This window comes from Homo sapiens, chromosome 16 (assembly GCF_000001405.40).
Source record: "Homo sapiens chromosome 16, GRCh38.p14 Primary Assembly".
Taxonomy (NCBI): Eukaryota; Metazoa; Chordata; class Mammalia; order Primates; family Hominidae; genus Homo; species Homo sapiens.
Window position 1 is genome coordinate 81,946,067 of NC_000016.10, and position 17,820 is coordinate 81,963,886.

The following is a 17,820-nucleotide window of genomic DNA, read 5'->3' on the forward strand; positions in this document are numbered from 1 at the left end:
TTCTCTACCCTTTGAACTAGGCCTATGATCCCGAGGTAGCCTCCAAAAAAAATCTAAGGTCTGACATTAATTACCTGCCTTTGCATTTTCCTCCTTGTTCTGCTTCAGGATTCAGGTCCGTTCCTCTGAAGAATGGGTACAGCGAGGACATAGAGCTGGCTTCCCTCCTGGTTTTCTGTGAGATGCGGCCAGTCCTGGTGAGTGGAGAAACACCAGTTAAGGGTTCCCTGAGCTATGCCTGCTGGTGAGGGTAGAAACGGCCCGTGAATACAATTGGCAGATGGACTTAAGCCCATTCAGAATTGTCTAGCCCAAGCATGAGACATCATACAAGAATTCCTTTTTGCTAATTCCCCAGAGTGTCCTGGGTTTTCCCTCCCAGCATCCTCCTTTCCTGGAGAATGCTGTGTGATTCTGTGTAGGCAGTGTAGGAAAGGGTGCCGGTACTTGTAAGTTCCCCATAGTTTCACTTCAGCAAGAGCCAGGCCAGATGATGCCTTCCTAGATAGACTCATCCTTTCTGGATGCTTTTTGGTGCCAGTGCATCTTTAGGAATCCTATCAAAAAGTCTGATAGCCTCCAATCAAGTAGAATGACCATAAATTAATCACCCCCCAAGCTGAGCATTTAGATGGAATCCATTTACAAATAAGGCGATCATGCACAGCTTTAGGTGAGTACCTTTTTCCTCCTTTACGCCAGAATTCTTTCCTTAGGATCAATACTCAGATATAGAATTAGTGGGATCAATTAATTTAGCTGAATGGTAAAACTGTAAAACCTGGGCTTTAGCAGAAGCCTTAAACCAGTGAGCATGAAGACCCTTTGCTTAGTGAAGCAGACCCTTTGCTTAGTGAAGCTTATCCCTCCCCAGCTCACTGAAGATCTGGGATTTGTGCATCTATTGCCCGGGGAAAGGGAACCAGTGCTGCTTCTCTCTATACATAAAACCCCTCCGCAGACACTTCACAGAAAAGTCAAGTGATAAAAATGGTTTTAGATTGTGGTAGGGCAGCATTTGCCTAGGCCCGCTGCTCTGCAAGGCTGTTGTAAACAACCGGAAACATTATAAATAATTTAAGTGATTAGGTATCACCAGCAGCAGAGAAAATTAGTATATTTAAAAGAAAATTGTGTTGATGCAGATTTGACTTCCTTGATGAGGGAAGCTTAATGCCGGGGCTGCCACTGTAGGGAGCCAGGGGCGTTGTGTGGGGTTCTAAATGGAAAGTCGACGCTCACAAATCTGCTTTCTGAAAGTTTTCTTTAGTTCAGCTGCTAGGTCTTGAGATTTCATTTAATTCCACATCTGTCACCTGGTTCTGTGCCACTCACAGGTGCAGCTCGGCATTTCTGTCCACACTGGGATGAAGAGTCGCTCTTGGAAGCCGAGCTGAATTGCATTCGGTAGACCTGGGCTTTCTCCTTAATGCCCACGGTCATACCTTTTATTTATCACCATATCCTCTGGAAGCCAGGGAGAAACTCTGGTAAACAGCCTCAATGCAGACTTTTCTGAGCAAATGATTGATCCAGTAAGGGCTAAGATGGAGTTTACTCATAAAACCTTTGCTGAGATAGAGTTTACAGCCCCAGAAAACTGTCAATAAGCACTTTACACACCTTCTGAAGAAGCCATTTACATGTCACAATTACTTTATCAAGTCGCAGTCCTTTACTTTGCTAGCAGTATGTTTGTTTAGTTTATAAAGAGTATTTTTAGCACCATTTTATTACCTACTGTATTTTATTTAAGATGTAAGAAAGGTGGGGGAGTTGAAAAGAGTCCCCCAGATAGCCTGTATCTAACGACCGTTACCATCTTGGTAGATTTCCATTGCCTTATGATTTTTTGTATATGATATTTCCATAGTCAGATTCATACAGGTGCCCTTTTCTACTTCACAGACGACTTTAAATGATTTTCAAAGCCATTGATGCCTGTTTCATCAGGTATGGGTCCCTAATTCACTTATGCTCCTACTAACGGAGAGTCAAGTCGTTGGCAGTTCTTTACTTTATAAATAATATAGGTCTTCATGTAATATTTTCTGATTAAAAATTATTTCCCAAGGCTAGATATTTAGCAATGGAATAATAAATCAAAGAAAAAAGGACCATGTATTTTTATCTGCATGTCAAATTGTTCTCTGCAAGTAAATAGTTTCTCCTAAGTTGTCGTATTATATCCCATCTTGCCATTAACTGGAATAGGCCTCCACTGGAATGATTTAACATGGTGAGATCCCGAAGAATGGGACTGGGGAAAATAGGAAAGCTTAAATAGTCATCATCTTCCATGGGCAAACTGGCCATTTCTGGAGGGCACATTTGAGAAAACTGGCTGCCCCACGACCTGTTTAGTACTGATCCTGGGTGGACTGGGTTCTGTTTTGTGCTGGGTAGGAGCTAACCTGCAAGGGGTGGAGAGGCCCTTCTTTAGAGTGGAAGAAAACCCAGGATGTTGTGCACTAGATTAAGGCTTATCCTAGAGCAGATGCTTGAATCCCTTTGTAGAAGATTGCACACTTTAGAATCCTGGAGGTCCAGGACTGGGAGCTGCACTCTGGCACTGAGCTGGTCCTGGTTTTTGAGGTTGGGAAAGATTTCCTTACACCTGGGGAGACCTGGAGGGACACAAAGGCCCTCCTTATGCCTCATCAGCTAAAGTTGGTCAGTTTGCCTAATGCTGGCTCCAAAGAGCAAAAACTGCTGTGTTTAACATCCATGACCCAAGAGTGTGACATGACTACTGAACACACAAAACCATGAGCATGCAGTGGAAAAAGAGGAAGACAGACTAAGGTACACACCTGGAATAGATGGCTGGCAGTTGAAACTGAGCCAGTGGAAACCTCAGATGATGAGAACTGTAACACATAACTCATAGGATCTTTCAAAGACATCCAAGGAGAGCACTGGAGAAAGCTTTCTGGAATTCAGAGAATAGACCTGATTTGTTGCATTAAAAAATTCAGTATATAAAGAGATCTGCATTAGTGACACCAAAGATAATGTGAAGGAAAAGTCTCACAATCTAGGGCAACCCCACCATGAGATGGAAAGAAAGGAAAAGGTGGGCTGGGAGGACAGATGCCAAGGACCTAATATGAAAGCATGTCCCAAAGGACAAAGTTAAACAGACGGTGGAGAGCTATTAATGAAATAGCGAATAAAGGAAGTGTTTCTCTAATCTGCTGCTTCTGAGGGCCCACTTGGTTGCAGGTGAGATGAATAGAAAACACATCCATACCCTCAGTAATATTTCAGTAAAAATGTTAAGTTCCAAGGATAAATTTAAAAACCTGGACTTCCAGCACACTAGTTGTGTATAAAGGAAACTGAATAAGTCTAATATCAGACTTGTCCTCTTTGGTGCTGAAAACTAAAAGACTCCCAAAGTGGGTAGAATGTGGACTAGGAAGACGGAATAATTCAGTGTCCAGCCCCCGACATGTCAAGGAATTTCAAGGTATGCAATATTTTAGATATATCATGTATCCTACTCAAGGGAAATCTTGAGGCAGCCCCTGAATCGATGATTATTTTAGTCAGAAAAGAAAACTTTTAGATAGGGAGGTGAAGAGAGGGAAACCAGTGAATAATTAATTTTGCAGTACAGTTACATCTTACAGGATGATGACAGTGTGATAAAAATTTTGTCATGGTAAATATCAAATAAGGATTTTTGAATTGGAAGAAATATACCATGATAAAAAATGACAATCAAAAGCTAAAAAATAATCAAGTATCAACAAAGCAAAGGCATGGAAAGGTAAAATAAAGGTATGCTAAAGGTTATTTCAACTTTGACGACTAGGGAATCAGTCAGTAAATAAACTATACTGCAGAGGGAGATTTAATGCTACATCTGATGTTAAAGGAAACTGTGATTTTAGTTAGCATTGTTAGACTGAGGGTAACCACTGTCAGAATTGAAAAACAGACAAGAAATAAGGAGGAAAAAAGGAGATCAACATAAACTTGACCAAGAGAGTAAAAATAATGTAAAGAATCAGAATAAGTTAAAGCAAGGTAAAATGTGTAGTAATTGAAGTGAAATGGATAAGAACTTACATTTAATTTGGTGAATAGGCTGAATCCTCCTATTAGAAAAGAAATCTACCTGCAGTGTTTACAACAAGAGGCCTAAAGGCAAGGTAAATAAAACAAATAGGAATGGATGGAAGAGTTACTGGGAAAATTGGGAAGGAAAAGTTAACATCAATCTAGAATTTACGATCAGAAGTACTACAGTGTATTAAGACGAACAATATGTGATGATAAAATGCTTGTTTTCTAAAGGGATATAAAAGTCATTAGCAAATAGCATAGTACCTAAGTATATAAGACAAAAATTCCTACATATACAAAGACAACTGTATAAAGAAAAAATCTTTCAGAATTTGGAAAGTCTTGTATATAAGAAATCAGCAAAGACATAATATCAAAATAATTTGCCTTAAGAAATATACAACTTTGTGTCCTACAAATGGATAACATACACTATTTTCTTCTGTCTCAAACTTCATAAATTTGATTGCATTCGTTAGAAAACTTTAATACATTTTTTAAAAATAATGATTTCCTAAGTCATTGGCTGTAACTGGACTAGATTCAAAAGACACAAAAAGATGGCAAAATTGCTCACAATTTGAAGATAATAATTTTCTAAATATACTAAAACAAGTAAATTACTTAGAAAGTAAAACATTTATGCCATAGTTACATTTAGAAGAGGAAAGTGCTTGCCTTAAAACTTCACAAAGAATGAAGACGTATGTACTACTAAGTATTCATCTTCAGAACTTTTAAAACACCAATAAAATAGAACAAAGGAATAAAAGAGATAGAAACCAACTGAATAAAACACAAATAAAAATAAAAGGATAAAAAGAATAAAACATTCTGGTTTATCAAAAAGGCCAAATTTTGTTTTGAGACAGTGTTTTTTTCTGTCACCCAGCCTGGAATACAGTGGTGTGATCATGGCTCACTGCAGCCTTGACCTCCTGGGCTCAAGTGATCTTCCTGAGTAGCTGGGACTACAGGCATATGCCACCATGCCTGGCTAATTTAAAATTTGTGTGTGTGTGTGGAGACAGGGCCCTGCTTTGCTGCCTAGGCTGCTCTCAGATCCTCCTGCCTTAGCCTCCCCAAGTGCTGGAATTACACGTGTCAGCCACTGTGTCCAGCCCTCAAAAGACCAGTTAAACTCTTTGCCTACTTAATAAAAGAATAAAGAGGAAAAACATGTAAGAGTAAATACTGGAAAGGAGACTGAACCCCAAATAATAAACTACAGCAAATGGATGATTACCTTAAAGAATGTAAATAGGCTAAAATTGTTCTGAAAAGCAGTAGAAAAGTTAAAACACCTATTAGATAAAACAGGTTTAGGATCTAGATGGTTTTATAGCTTAGTTTTGTCTTCATTTAAATAACGTAATTCCAATTTCACTCCACCAAAGTAAGAAGAACAATGGAAATCCTTCTTCTGTCTTGAAGCTATACAACTTTCATATCAAAACTGGAGAAAGATAGTACTCCTAGCTTTCCCCTAACCTCATTCAGCCGTAGACCAATGTCATGTGTGAATATAGATGTTAAACTTCAAAAAATAGCAAATATCCAGCTGTTTACTAGAAGAGCAATATATTACAACTAAGCATTTATTCTGGAATGCAAGGATGGTTTAACACCAGCACAGTTAGCAACAAATTAAATATGAAAAAAGCATAAACTAGTAGATGCCATAAATGTAAACAGCCAAATGAAATAATCAGTATAATTTTAGAAAAAAGGTCGAGTGATCTCTATTGTATACAAATTTAAACTGTACAAATTCTGATTGTATAGTTTACAAAACAGGAAGACTTCAATTTTAAAGAGACTGATGTTTATTTTTCTTGTATTTATTGAACGTAACCACTTCTGTCTGTTCTAGAAGTAACAAACAGAAATGTGGTGTGGGAGGAAGGGACAAATGGGACATCCCATTTGTGATACTGACAAAAACCATAACACATTTAGGAGTAATTTAAATAAAGGTACAGAACTTATATAAGAAAAAAACATAAAATCTTATTAAAAAACAAAACACCATGTGAACAAGTAGAAATTTATACCAACCCTTCCAAAATTAATGTTGGATTGGAATTGGAGGTATCAATATAAACTCAAGTTACATATATATTTATATATATATATTCACACGTAGATGAATAAATGTGTGTGTTTACATGTTACTACAAATACATACATATCCTAGCTCACTCTGCTGAGTGCCTAGAACTTATGACACCCCAGTCATTGGATTCTCAATTCCAGATATTGCTAAATATCATATGCCAATAAAAAGAAATCAGGGCTCCTTAGACAAGTGGTTGATTTCCAGACATGGGATAAATAAAATATAAAAAGGACCTGGAGCATCTTAACATTTCAGTAAATAAAGAAGTGCTGAAAAAATGGTGGAAGCACATCAAAGGGGCCTAGGAACCAACCAGGGAGCGCTCCCAATGGCCACAGCTGGAACCATTTGCATAGCAAAATAATGATAATATCAGATTCTAGCACACAGAATGAAATAGCCACATGTCTGTGAATGAATGAATACATGACAGAGAAGAGATAGCTCTTCCTTACAAATGAATTCTGATTAATAAATGTAGAAGGAATGAGGGAACTAGAAAATCACTATTGAAACAGCATAGTACTAACTGCTGCAGTAAGACCTACTGATGAATGCAAAATGAAAGTTGGAGGAGAAATATATTTCCATTGTCCCAAAAGTGTCTTCCGCCAAGAAATTTATCAATTAGAAAGACAAAAATAGCAGCTTTACAGCGGATAGACCCTGCAGCTACCATCTTAATCAGATGATCAACGTTACCAACCACCTGGAATAAGGCAGGTTGAAATCACGTACTTCCTGAGGTGAGACGCTGAGAAGGGTACATTGCTTCTGTGACATTCTTGCCAAAACTGCATCGCCTCAAACAAATTATAAGAAGACACCAGACAAAAGTTGCTGGACATTCATACAAAATAACTGACTAGTATTCTTCCAAAGTGTCCTGAGGGAGGAATGAGGAAACCATACAGATTGTAGGAGACTAAGGCAGCACAATGACTAAAGGTTCTGTGGGATCCCGGATTGGATGTGGGAACAGGAAAAGGAGACTGGTGGAAAACCCAGTGAAATATGAATAAGATCTGTAGTTTTAGTATTGCACCGATATTAATTTCTTAGTTTTGATACTTGTACTGTGGTTGTGCGAGATGTTAACACTGTGGAGTCTAGGTGGTTGGGGTATGTGAGAACATTGTACTATTACTGTACCTTTTTTGTAAGCTTAAGCTTCCAACATAAAACAATTTAAAAGGTATTGGTGGGGGAAAAACTTTATTTTTTTGTGTATTTTTCCCCCCAACAAACAGGAGAAAAACTAAAGGCAGAGAGTGCCATAAAGATTTTGTCTCAGGCCAGGTAAAACTTATTACCAAAAGCTTCATTTTCTAATAAAACAAACTAAATTTTTAAGTGAAAACTCAGACTCAAAAGAAATCCAGGAAATAAGTATCACAAAATGCTTTCTCTTGACTAGAGTGGTGGTTCCTCAAGTCAAGAGGGCTGGTTCATTTGCTGTAGAGTTATTCACTAAACTGTTTCTATCTTTTACGTTCTTTTCTGAATGTGCATTATATCTCATATATATACAGTGTACCCAGGACTACAGTATGTAATATAGCTGCAAATATTTTGGCACTCAGGAAAGGTGATAAAGGGTTGCAGTTATAGAAGCATTCATAGAAAAGGTGAATTTTGAACTTGCGCCCGAATAACAAATACCCATTATATAGAATAAAACAACAGAAGCCATTTTCTTCTAGGTGCAGAAAAGGGAAAGAGAGACCTTTCATGGTATAGTATTAAGACTTAAATGGGGTTTTCATTTTGCTTTATTTTTTGAGACAGGGTCTCATTGTCTTGCCCAGGCTGGAGTACAGTGGCATGATCGTGGCTCACTGCAGCCTTAACCTCCTGGGCTCATGTGATCTTACCCTCTCAGCCTCCTGAATAGCTGGGAGTACAGGGTATGCCACCATGCCTGGCTAATTTCTTTCATTTTTTATAGTAACAGGGTCCCGCTATGTTGCCCAGGCTGGTCTTGAACTCCTGGTCAAGCAATCCTCCCACCTCAGCCTCCCAAAGTGCTGGGGATTACATGCCTGAGGCACTGCGCCCGGCGACTTGATTCTTTTCTTTTCTTTTTCCTTTTCTCTGAACTTTATTCTGTAAAATTTTACTTTAAGTTCCAGGATACAAGTGCAGGACGTGTAGGTTTGTTACATAGGTATACGTGTGCCATGGTGGTTTGCTGTACTCGTCAACCTGTCATCTAGGTTTTAAGTCCCACATGCATTCCCCATCCGCCAACTAGCCATGGTGTGTGTTGTTGCCCTCCCTGTGTCCTCATTGTTCAACTCCCACTTATGAGTGAGAACATATGGTATTTGGTTTTCCATTCCTGTGTTAGTTTGCTGGCTGAGGATGATGGCTTCCAGCTTCATCCATGTCCCTGCAAAGGACATTACTTCATTCATTTTTGTGGCTGCATAGTATTCCATGGTGTATATGTACCACATTTTCTTTATCTAGTCTATCACTGATGGGCATTTGGGTTGGTTCCATGTCTTTGCTGTTGTACATGGTGCTGCAGTAAACTTACATGTGCGTGGGTCTTTATAGTAGAATGATTTATATTCCTTTGGGTACATACCCAGTAATGGGATTGCTGGGTCAAATGGTATTGCTGGTTCTAGATCCTTGAGGAACCACCATACTGTCTTCCACAATGGTTGAACTAATTTTCATTCCCACCGACAGTGTAAAAGTGTTCCTATTTCTCCACAGCCTCGCCAGCATCTATTGTTTCCTGACTTTTTAATATGCTTTATTCTTAATAGGGAGGAAAGTCATTACTAAGTGAAGTCATTACTGACTCTTCCCAATGCCTCACTTGATACATTCACTTAATCACCAAGGACAGCCCATTTTACCTCTGCTTACTCTTCAACCTTTGCAAACAGCTGGAATAATCATCTTCTGTCCCCCTTCTCCAAAGTCACAGTTCCAGCTGTTACCCTGGGGACTGTTTTGTTAGGTCATTAAAGGAGGAAAAAACCTTGCAGAGTATGGTCTGAGTCCGTGTTTTTCTAAAAGTAAATGACAAAGGATCTTGTTTGTGCACCTCAACAGATGTTTTTGTAGCACAGGAGTCTTTCACTTGAACTCCATCGGGAAAGGCCAATTGACTTGACCCTCCTGCAAAGCCAAGCTTCACAGAGTAGTCAGGGATCCTCTGAAACAGATGAGGCAAAACATCCTCATCCTCCCCCTGCATTGAAACCCAAACTCCCTACCCTGAGTGGCTTTTGTCTTTTTTTCTCCCCTAGCGTAATGGACTATTTTGGTTCCTGCAACTGAAAAGTTTAGGGGTAGGTCTTGTTTCAGTCATGGCTGAATCTCTGTGCTCACTCAGTGGCTGTTTTCCTCTTTTTCTGGCACATTCCAAACTTCTTGACTCAATAGCAACGTGGCCATGACAGGACCACACTTACTCTTTCAGCTGATCCCAAGAAAAGAAACTCTACCAAGAGCACCAACGAAAGTCCCACGGATGCGTCTAGTTGGCCTTGCTTGGGTCATGTGCCTGGAGGTTGTACTGGTGGGGGAAGTAGAAATCATTACTGGCTACAGGTGAGGCACATGCCCATCTCTGCAAGATGTAATTTATGATACCTTGGCTTTTTTGGGTAACAGCTTTGAGAGATAATTCATATAACCACATATCATATAATCACTCATTTAAAGTGTACAATTCAATGGTTTATAGCCTATTACGTGTTGTACAGTCATGGCCACAATCAATTTTAGAACATTTCCAACACCCAAAAAGAAACCTCACGCTCATTAGCTGCTGCCACTCACTCCATCCCCCAGACCCCGGTGACCTTTAACCTACTTTGTCTCTGTGATTTTGCTAGTTCTGGACACTTCATATAAATGGCATCGTGTGATTTGTGATCTTTTAGAGTTGGGCTCATTCACTTAGCATAATGTTTTCAAGGTTCATCCACCTTGCAGCTTGTTACCTTGCCTTTTAAGGCCCTTAAAAGATTTTAAATTATCTGCCTCCTGCCTGCCTTTTAGTTCTCATGTCATGCTGTTTTTTTCTCCTCTGCTGGGTTCCACTTTAAGCGTGCAGCTGCTTAGACACTTTTGCAGTCAGGTAAAGGCCAGAAGGTGACATGTAGACCAAAGGAAAACCGGGTTAGATTAAGAAATAGGATCTACAGGAAATGCAGTCATTATTTCAATGTTTTGCAATAAATCAACAGTGTAAAGACCAAGCACTTTTTAAACTGCTTGCTTCCCACACAATAAATAATTGTGTTTTATCTTTCTTTGGTTAAAATAGGCCCTGGCTCTTCTGGGCTAATCCAAGTTGCAAAACTTCTGCCCCATGCTCCCTTTGGGCATGCTTGTGAGATGCCAGGTTCACATTTTGGTTTGGAAGGTGTAGTCACCACATGGTTGTTCTCTCCCCTGCATCCTCCAGGAGAGCGAAGAGGAACTTTACTCCTCCTGTCGCCAGCTGAGGAGGCGGCAAGAAGAACTGAACAACCAGCTCTTTCTGTATGACACACACCAGAACTTGCGCAATGCCAACCGGGATGCCCTGGTTAAAGAGTTCAGTGTTAATGAGAACCAGCTCCAGCTGTACCAGGAGAAATGCAACAAGAGGTAGGTCAGCCCCTCCACCTGCAAAAACTTTTGGGGGGTCTCTAGGCACGGTGATGATGGGCACCACGGGCCAGGCTTCTGGAAAGCCCTCTGAGTTGCTTTCTTCAGAAATCCTTGGCCGGGCATGGTGGCTCACAGGCCAGGCATGGTGGCTCATGCCTGTAATCCCAGCACTTTGGGAGGCTGAGGAGGTTGGATCACCTGAGGTCAGGAGTTCAAGACCAGCGTGCCCAACATGGAGAAACCCTGTCTCTACTAAAAATACAAAAATTAGCTGGGCATGGTCGTGGGCGCCTGTAATCCCAGCTACTTGGGAGGCTGAGGCAGGAGAATCATTTCAACCTGGGAGGCAGAGGTTGCAGTGAGCCGAGATCACACCATTGCACTCCAGCCTGGGCACCAGAGGGAGACTCTGTCAAACAAACAAACAAACAAACAAACAAAAAATCCTTTGGCACCCTTGACTCTAGTTCTCTTTGTTCTAGAAATTAACCTACAGTAATACCTTAGGCGCTTGCCACTTCCCCTAAGTAGAACTGTTTCCTCTAGAAGGACACTTCAATTTAATAGCGAAAATAAATGATGACCACTGACTTTTAAGGAGTACTTATTGTGTTTCCAAGAATGGGCTAGTCCAGCGGCTCTAGACTGGGTCAAGATCCCCCAACAGGGATGCTTGTGGTTGTGCTACAGGCATGTAATGGGGTGCGGGGCGGCCGGGGTTGCCAAGTGTTTCATAATATGTCTAAATCTTCTAAGAAAGAATCATCCAGACAAAAATCCTAATAGTAGCCACCAACGAGAAACTGTGCTGCCTCCCTTACTCACATTATTCTCATTGAATCTTCATGTCAGCCTGCAGAGTAGCTCTTACTCTGTTTTACCATTGAGGAGATTTAACCTCTCTGAGTCTCAACGTCTTACCAGGAACTTGGAGTCTGCCTCTCTGACACTCAGCCCTATACCATCCAGCTATGAATGACTGGCAAATGTACAGAAAGAGAAATGTTACAGAGTTCAGCACGCAGCCCATTTCTCATGGCCCACTGCTGATGGTGAAATCTGTTTTATTTCAGGTTAAGAGAGAAGAGAGTCAGCAACAGCAAGTTTTACTCATAGAAGCTGGGGTATGTGTGTAAGGGTATTGTGTGTGTGCGCATGTGTGTTTGCATGTAGGAGAACGTGCCCTATTCACACTCTGGGAAGACGCTAATCTGTGACATCTTTTCTTCAAGCCTGCCATCAAGGACATTTCTTAAGACCCAACTGGCATGAGTTGGGGTAATTTCCTATTATTTTCATCTTGGACAACTTTCTTAACTTATATTCTTTATAGAGGATTCCCCAAAATGTGCTCCTCATTTTTGGCCTCTCATGTTCCAAACCTCATTGAATAAAAGCAATGAAAACCTTGATCAATTAAGCCTTCTGTTGCACGACCTGTGCAGTGAACAGGATTTCTTTTCTGGCCAAGAAGATTCTACCTCTAATGATCCAGGTAACTGATGTCCATGGAGGATGAGCTGGAAATGTAAGAAACTATTCATGAGATTCTGAAAAGGATTTTAACTCAAAGGCAAATGATTCCATAAGGGCCCAAAGAGAAGCCCTACCCACAGGCAGCCTGCTCAGTTCAATGTACTTTAACTACCACCGGCTGCCTGCTGCAGTCCACAAGAAAATGGCTGAGTGATGGGATCTGTTCATTAAGACAATTTCTAATTAATGGTGACAGCTTGTTTTGTGACTAGAGTTACTGGGATGGAGGGTAGGAATCTTGGGGCCTCTTTGTTTTAAAAAGCCCATCAGAGAGACCAGAGCCGTGCTGCAGGGGCAGGTTCTCACTTGCCCCTGGCTCTGCCAGCTGCTGGGAGGCTCTGGCCCCACTAGTCCCTCATGGCCCTACTGAACTGGCTGGGAGGCTGCTGGAATGGCCCTTGGTCCACAGCTCTCCACAGGCAAGAGGTCAACTGCTGCTTGAAAGAGGTAGACAAAAGTTAGGTTGATGGCGAAATGTCTCTGGGTTACCCAGTCTTCTGGAGCAGCAAGCTGAGCTTTAATGGGCTAAGCATTAGGGTGTTACAGAAAATTTCAAATGCAGCCATCTCCCTTGGGGCAGATCTACCTAGTTCATGACAGTATGTGCGGCTGGCCAGGGCTTTACACCTCTGCATCTTAAGTTGTTAATACATACCAATAATGTAATATGGCTTTTTAAAGGAGAGGAGAGTGCTGGGTTGGGAAGGGAGGTGGTTGGTAGAGTCACAACTTCTCAATGAGTGAATTTACAGCTGATGGGAAAAGGAGTGTAACTGTGAAAAACGATGGCTGTGGTGGGGAAGAACAAACCAGCAGTAAGCCTGATGTTTGATGTGGATGGAACTGGCCCCTAGAAACCCATCTGACCCTCCTCTTGTTACCCGAAATGCTGGGCTTAGTATGCATGTACTGCTGAAAAGCAGGGCAGAACAAATCAGGCTCTGACCAGAAGATCCTTCTGGTCCCTTCACTCTACAAAAACTTACTGATCACCTCCACATGCCAAATACAGTGCCAAGATTTGGGGGTGTGGATGTTTAAACAAAAAGCTGTGGGTCTCATCAATCATCTCCATCCACAAGCTCCTAAAAGAAAGCCATTTACCTCGCTTGAAGCCAGGAACACAGGGAACAGCAGTCTGGCCAAGGAAGGGCTGTTATCTGGTGCTATCACTCCAGTTACTCCTCCAACTGGGAGCTGCTATTTTATTTGGCAGTCAGCAACTGAAGAAAGAACATTCCTCTTAGTGGCAGATGTTCAAAGCAACTTTCAAGAAAGGCTAGGTGAGAAAGGCACTGGGATGAGTGCTGCAGGCACTCTGTAGCCAGGGCCCCATTAGCCTTTGGCCAGGTAGCCACCAGAACCTATTTATTGCACCTGGCATCTCCCCCAACCCCTCTCAGCTCTGTTAGGACTTCCACACAGCAGAGCTCAGGTGTTGCTGTCATTACCTCCTTTCAGCTCCTCACTTCATTCTACTTTAAAGCCACAGTGCTAAGGCCTGCATCCCCTTTCTGCCCAAATGGGTTTTTTGCTACCATATCAAAGAACCTGACATATGGCGGCATAGGAAGCAGAAGCTAAGCCTCTCTCCAGCTGCTGCTGTGTAAAATCCATGCGTGGCCAAAGAGAAGTCAGGGGATTATGACATAAATGGTGCTGGGAAGAACCCTCTGCCTAAAACTGTCTCCTTCTCCTGGTGCTACAACCGGAATCCACCATGAGAGAGTACTTTCTTCGGTTCTTTCCTCCTGTCCTTGACAGAGTAACACGTTAATCTGGTTCTTGGTGGTGTTAGGGACTGATTCTCTCAGGAAAGGCACACATGGTATGATGGCTCTTCCCAGAGTCTATGTGATGCTACATAACTTCAGTATCTAGCTGAGACATGCTTCCTACATGACTGTTAAAGCACAGCCAATCCAGGCCAAGAAGACTAGTAACAGGCACATTCTGAAAGATGGAAGCAGCACTGATAGATCAAAACCACCACTGCATATGTATTACACTGTTTTTGTTCACCATTTTCCTAAGTGTGTTATTTAGAATATTGGTTATTACAAGGAAAAATAAAGTGGGGAGGCTGGTTAGGCCTTGTGAGTTTGGGAAACTTAGGTTATAAAAACTAAATAAAGTTTTTCTACTGTGAGACTAGATGTGCAGGAGTGAAAGGTGTAGAGGGTCTTGTTTTCCAAATTCGATCTCAGAATCTTTTTGCCAGAAGTGTCTCATGGGACTTATCTATAGTGGAACACATTTGAAGACCTACTGCTCTATTAAGAAGGCAGCCGGACAACATGTTCTAATACTTCGTATGCTTTGTGACCTAGTTAAAATCTAAACTTAAGTCGCCATGGCCAGTGGCCTTTAGATTAAGCTAGCCTTACCCCTGGGAGTATACCAGAGCTTTCCAAGGAATACACAGACTCCAGTACTCTCAGGGGAGCAGTGTTCAGAGCCTCATCTTCCTGTTATATTCTTCTCTAAGATTCATCTGCCTGAGAAAATGCCCTTTTCTCACCTTACAAAAGAAAATATGGCTGTCTCCACCTCTAGTCTTACTGTAGAGCATGTCCCAAGGTGTAAAAATTCAAAATGTGGATATTTGGAAAGTGAAAGACTTATCAACAGGGCACAAATCTTTTTGCAAATGGATTTTCCAAGTTTTTCTGGTGGTTCCAAATTTTTTGCTTTCAACAAAGTGGGAGGAACAGCCTGTAGATTTCTGAGTCTCTTAGCATGTAACTACAAAGGGGTTGGAAGAATTCAGTGATTCTGCTATCATAAAGCTTCCGTTCCCATTGATGTATCTGTGTGAACAAGGATCAACATCTCCATAAATGAAATTGAAAACGGAAAATAGAATTGATGATGAACTTTGGCTCAATCTTAAGATGTTATCAATCTACATAGATGAAATAATTGTGGAGAAAAGCCCTCTTTATCTCATTAAGTGATACATTTCCAAAGAAGTTTTACTATGTTTAATAATTTAGTGAAATTTGGGCTATGTGTTTATTGATTCAGCTCAATCCAGAGGAAAATTTTAAAGGCTTACAGCCTTAGGATTATAGGATACTATATAATACTTTTGGTACAGAGATAGAATTAAATAACATAAAAATCAAAAATTTATTAGGCTAAAATTTTGAGGGAGAAGTGGTATGAAAATACAAATTCAAGGAGTAAAAGGAAAAGTGGGGCATTCCTTGCTACTAAAAATTGCCTTGTTCCAGGTAAGACTGATCATAAAAAAATGGCCCTGTTCATAAAATTTTTAAAAAGATCATAGTATCTATCAAATAACTTATATTAAGAACCTCCTGGGCTAAATTTAAAAAGTAATACAACAGTTTTATTTAAACATGTAGTGTCTACGGTATGCCAGCACTTTGCAGCTATTTATAATGAGAAATTTTAGATGTCAATATAGCAATGTGCAAGAAGATAGAGATTTTCAAAATTCACTTAAGAGTATCTGAGCATAAAATGTTAAGATTGCTGATCGGATGTGAGGGCGATCTGGCTGCGACATCTGTCACCCCATTGATCGCCAGGGTTGATTCGGCTGATCTGGCTGGCTAGGTGGGTGTCCCCTTCCTACCTCACCGCTCCATGTGCGTCCCTCCCGAAGCTGCGCGCTCCGTCGAAGAGGACGACCAACCCCGATAGAGGAGGACCGGTCTTCGGTCAAGGGTATACGAGTAGCTGCGCTCCCCTGCTGGAACCTCCAAACAAGCTCTCAAGATTGCTGATCTAGGGCCACTAAGTGATGAATTGTATTTGGAAGCAAAAAGGATGGCTAAAAAGGACCTCAACCCTTTTGACTTTAAAAGGAAAATAGCTTAACCTTCAACCTGTGTGACATTTAACTTTTTGAACCCAACCGTAAAAGCTATCTTCTAACCAACAAAAAGTTAATAATTAGATTTGGAATTATACAGAATTAGAAAATTGGCATTTAAAAATACTCAATAATTTGTCCCTGGTTTTTAATTTTCAAAATATTTTCTTTTTGAAGAGCCAGATTCCAGTGATCCTGCCTCTCAGAAATTTCCACATTTCTTATTTTTCATTAGGCCTTAAGAAGCTGCATTTGTAAACTTGTGTTTCATTATTAAAGCTTAATTTATTTTTTATATAAATAGTATGTGCTTTGTGTACATAGAGAATTAAGTGAATGAGTCACACAGATGTTGGCTGTTGTTAATGTGAAAATTAAACAGCTGTATCACATTTTGAAAAATAAAAGTTTCATCTGAATGAATATAGCAATCTGCCCAGAACTTTTTTTAAAAACTGCTATTCACCTTTTATATTCCCAAATAAAACACACACACACATACAATAATTTAGTCATGAGATAGGTAGAGTTACAGTTATTTTTTGAAATGTGTTTTACTATCCTATTTATCCCACGTTTCTTTGGGTTACAGGTTTATCTTCAGCAAAAACTCACTCTGTGTTGAAACTCAAGTTTGTACGATTAATACTTGAGTGCTCTTCAATTTATCAGTTTTGAAAGAATGTTTAGTGTTGGAAGGAGCGAGGACCTTATAGTAAGTCCCTGTATTTCTCAGCTGAGTGATAGGCTCCCTAGAACTGTCAATCACTGCGTTTCTTGCCAACAATCCCTGGTCCACAGGAAGCCATGTTGTATCTCATACCTCTGACCCCCAACCCCCAGCCCCCAGTGGTTGGATTAGTTACCCTGGTCCAAAGATTTAATAATAGCCTATGACAAACCTCTGCATTAGAAGATGAGCAAGGAATAGTAAAAAGCAAAGATGAAATTAGAACTGCCAAATGACCACTTTTTAAATGGATACAACCATAACTCTCATAAAGATATATAATGAACATATGTCAGAAATCTTATTAATTAACAAAGGAACCAGTGAGATGTTCCAGCTTGTTTAAAGGAGAATGCAGAGAACAATATATATACATACAGTATAGGTTATCCGCTATCCAGATTATCTGATTTTATACGGTTTCTCCACGTTTTATTGTCCGAATAATGCAAATTATTCCTGTCCGTAGAAATGCAAACTGTGTCCTGTGGAGATTCCATTGATCATTCCCTTGTGGATACTGATCACTGGTTTTACCAGTTTTATATCTATTAAATTTATTTCAGCATCGCTGATGGATGTGAAATCTGACTCCTATCTTACTCCACACACAAAAATCAAGTCAGTTAGATTATAGATCAAAATATGAAAGATAAAACAATATTTCTAGAAGGTCTTCACAACATCGGCGTAGGGAAAGGTTACTTAAACAAAACTACAAAAGCAGCATCCCTGAAGGAAGACTGCTAAATTTGACTCCCCTAAAATTCAAAACTGGTTTTTATCAAAAGATACAATAAGAAGACAGAGAGAAAAGACAAGCCACAGAGTAGAGGGAGATATTTGCAATAATGTATCTGACAAAAGACCTCAGCCAAAAAATAACTCCATCAT

At 40.4% G+C, this 17,820-nt stretch overlaps 1 protein-coding gene and 1 pseudogene across 4 annotated transcripts in view; both read left to right on the forward strand.

Annotated features, from left to right (window-relative positions):
• Positions 1-16,619, forward strand: part of PLCG2 (phospholipase C gamma 2) — a 223,645-nt gene extending 207,026 nt beyond the window's left edge. For 3 of the 4 annotated variants that reach the window (NM_001425751.1, NM_001425749.1, NM_001425750.1), the window contains 3 exons: positions 109-197; positions 10,629-10,813; positions 11,890-12,228. In NM_001425751.1, coding sequence (NP_001412680.1) covers positions 109-197; positions 10,629-10,813; positions 11,890-11,932 — 317 coding nt within the window. In that variant the 3' untranslated portion in view covers positions 11,933-12,228. Of the gene's footprint in view, positions 1-108; positions 198-10,628; positions 10,814-11,889 lie in introns of all 4 variants that reach the window. The other variant, NM_002661.5, reaches the window with a different exon arrangement.
• RN7SKP176 (RN7SK pseudogene 176) lies at positions 15,860-16,099 on the forward strand (annotated as a pseudogene).
• Positions 16,620-17,820: the final 1,201 nt, after the last annotated feature.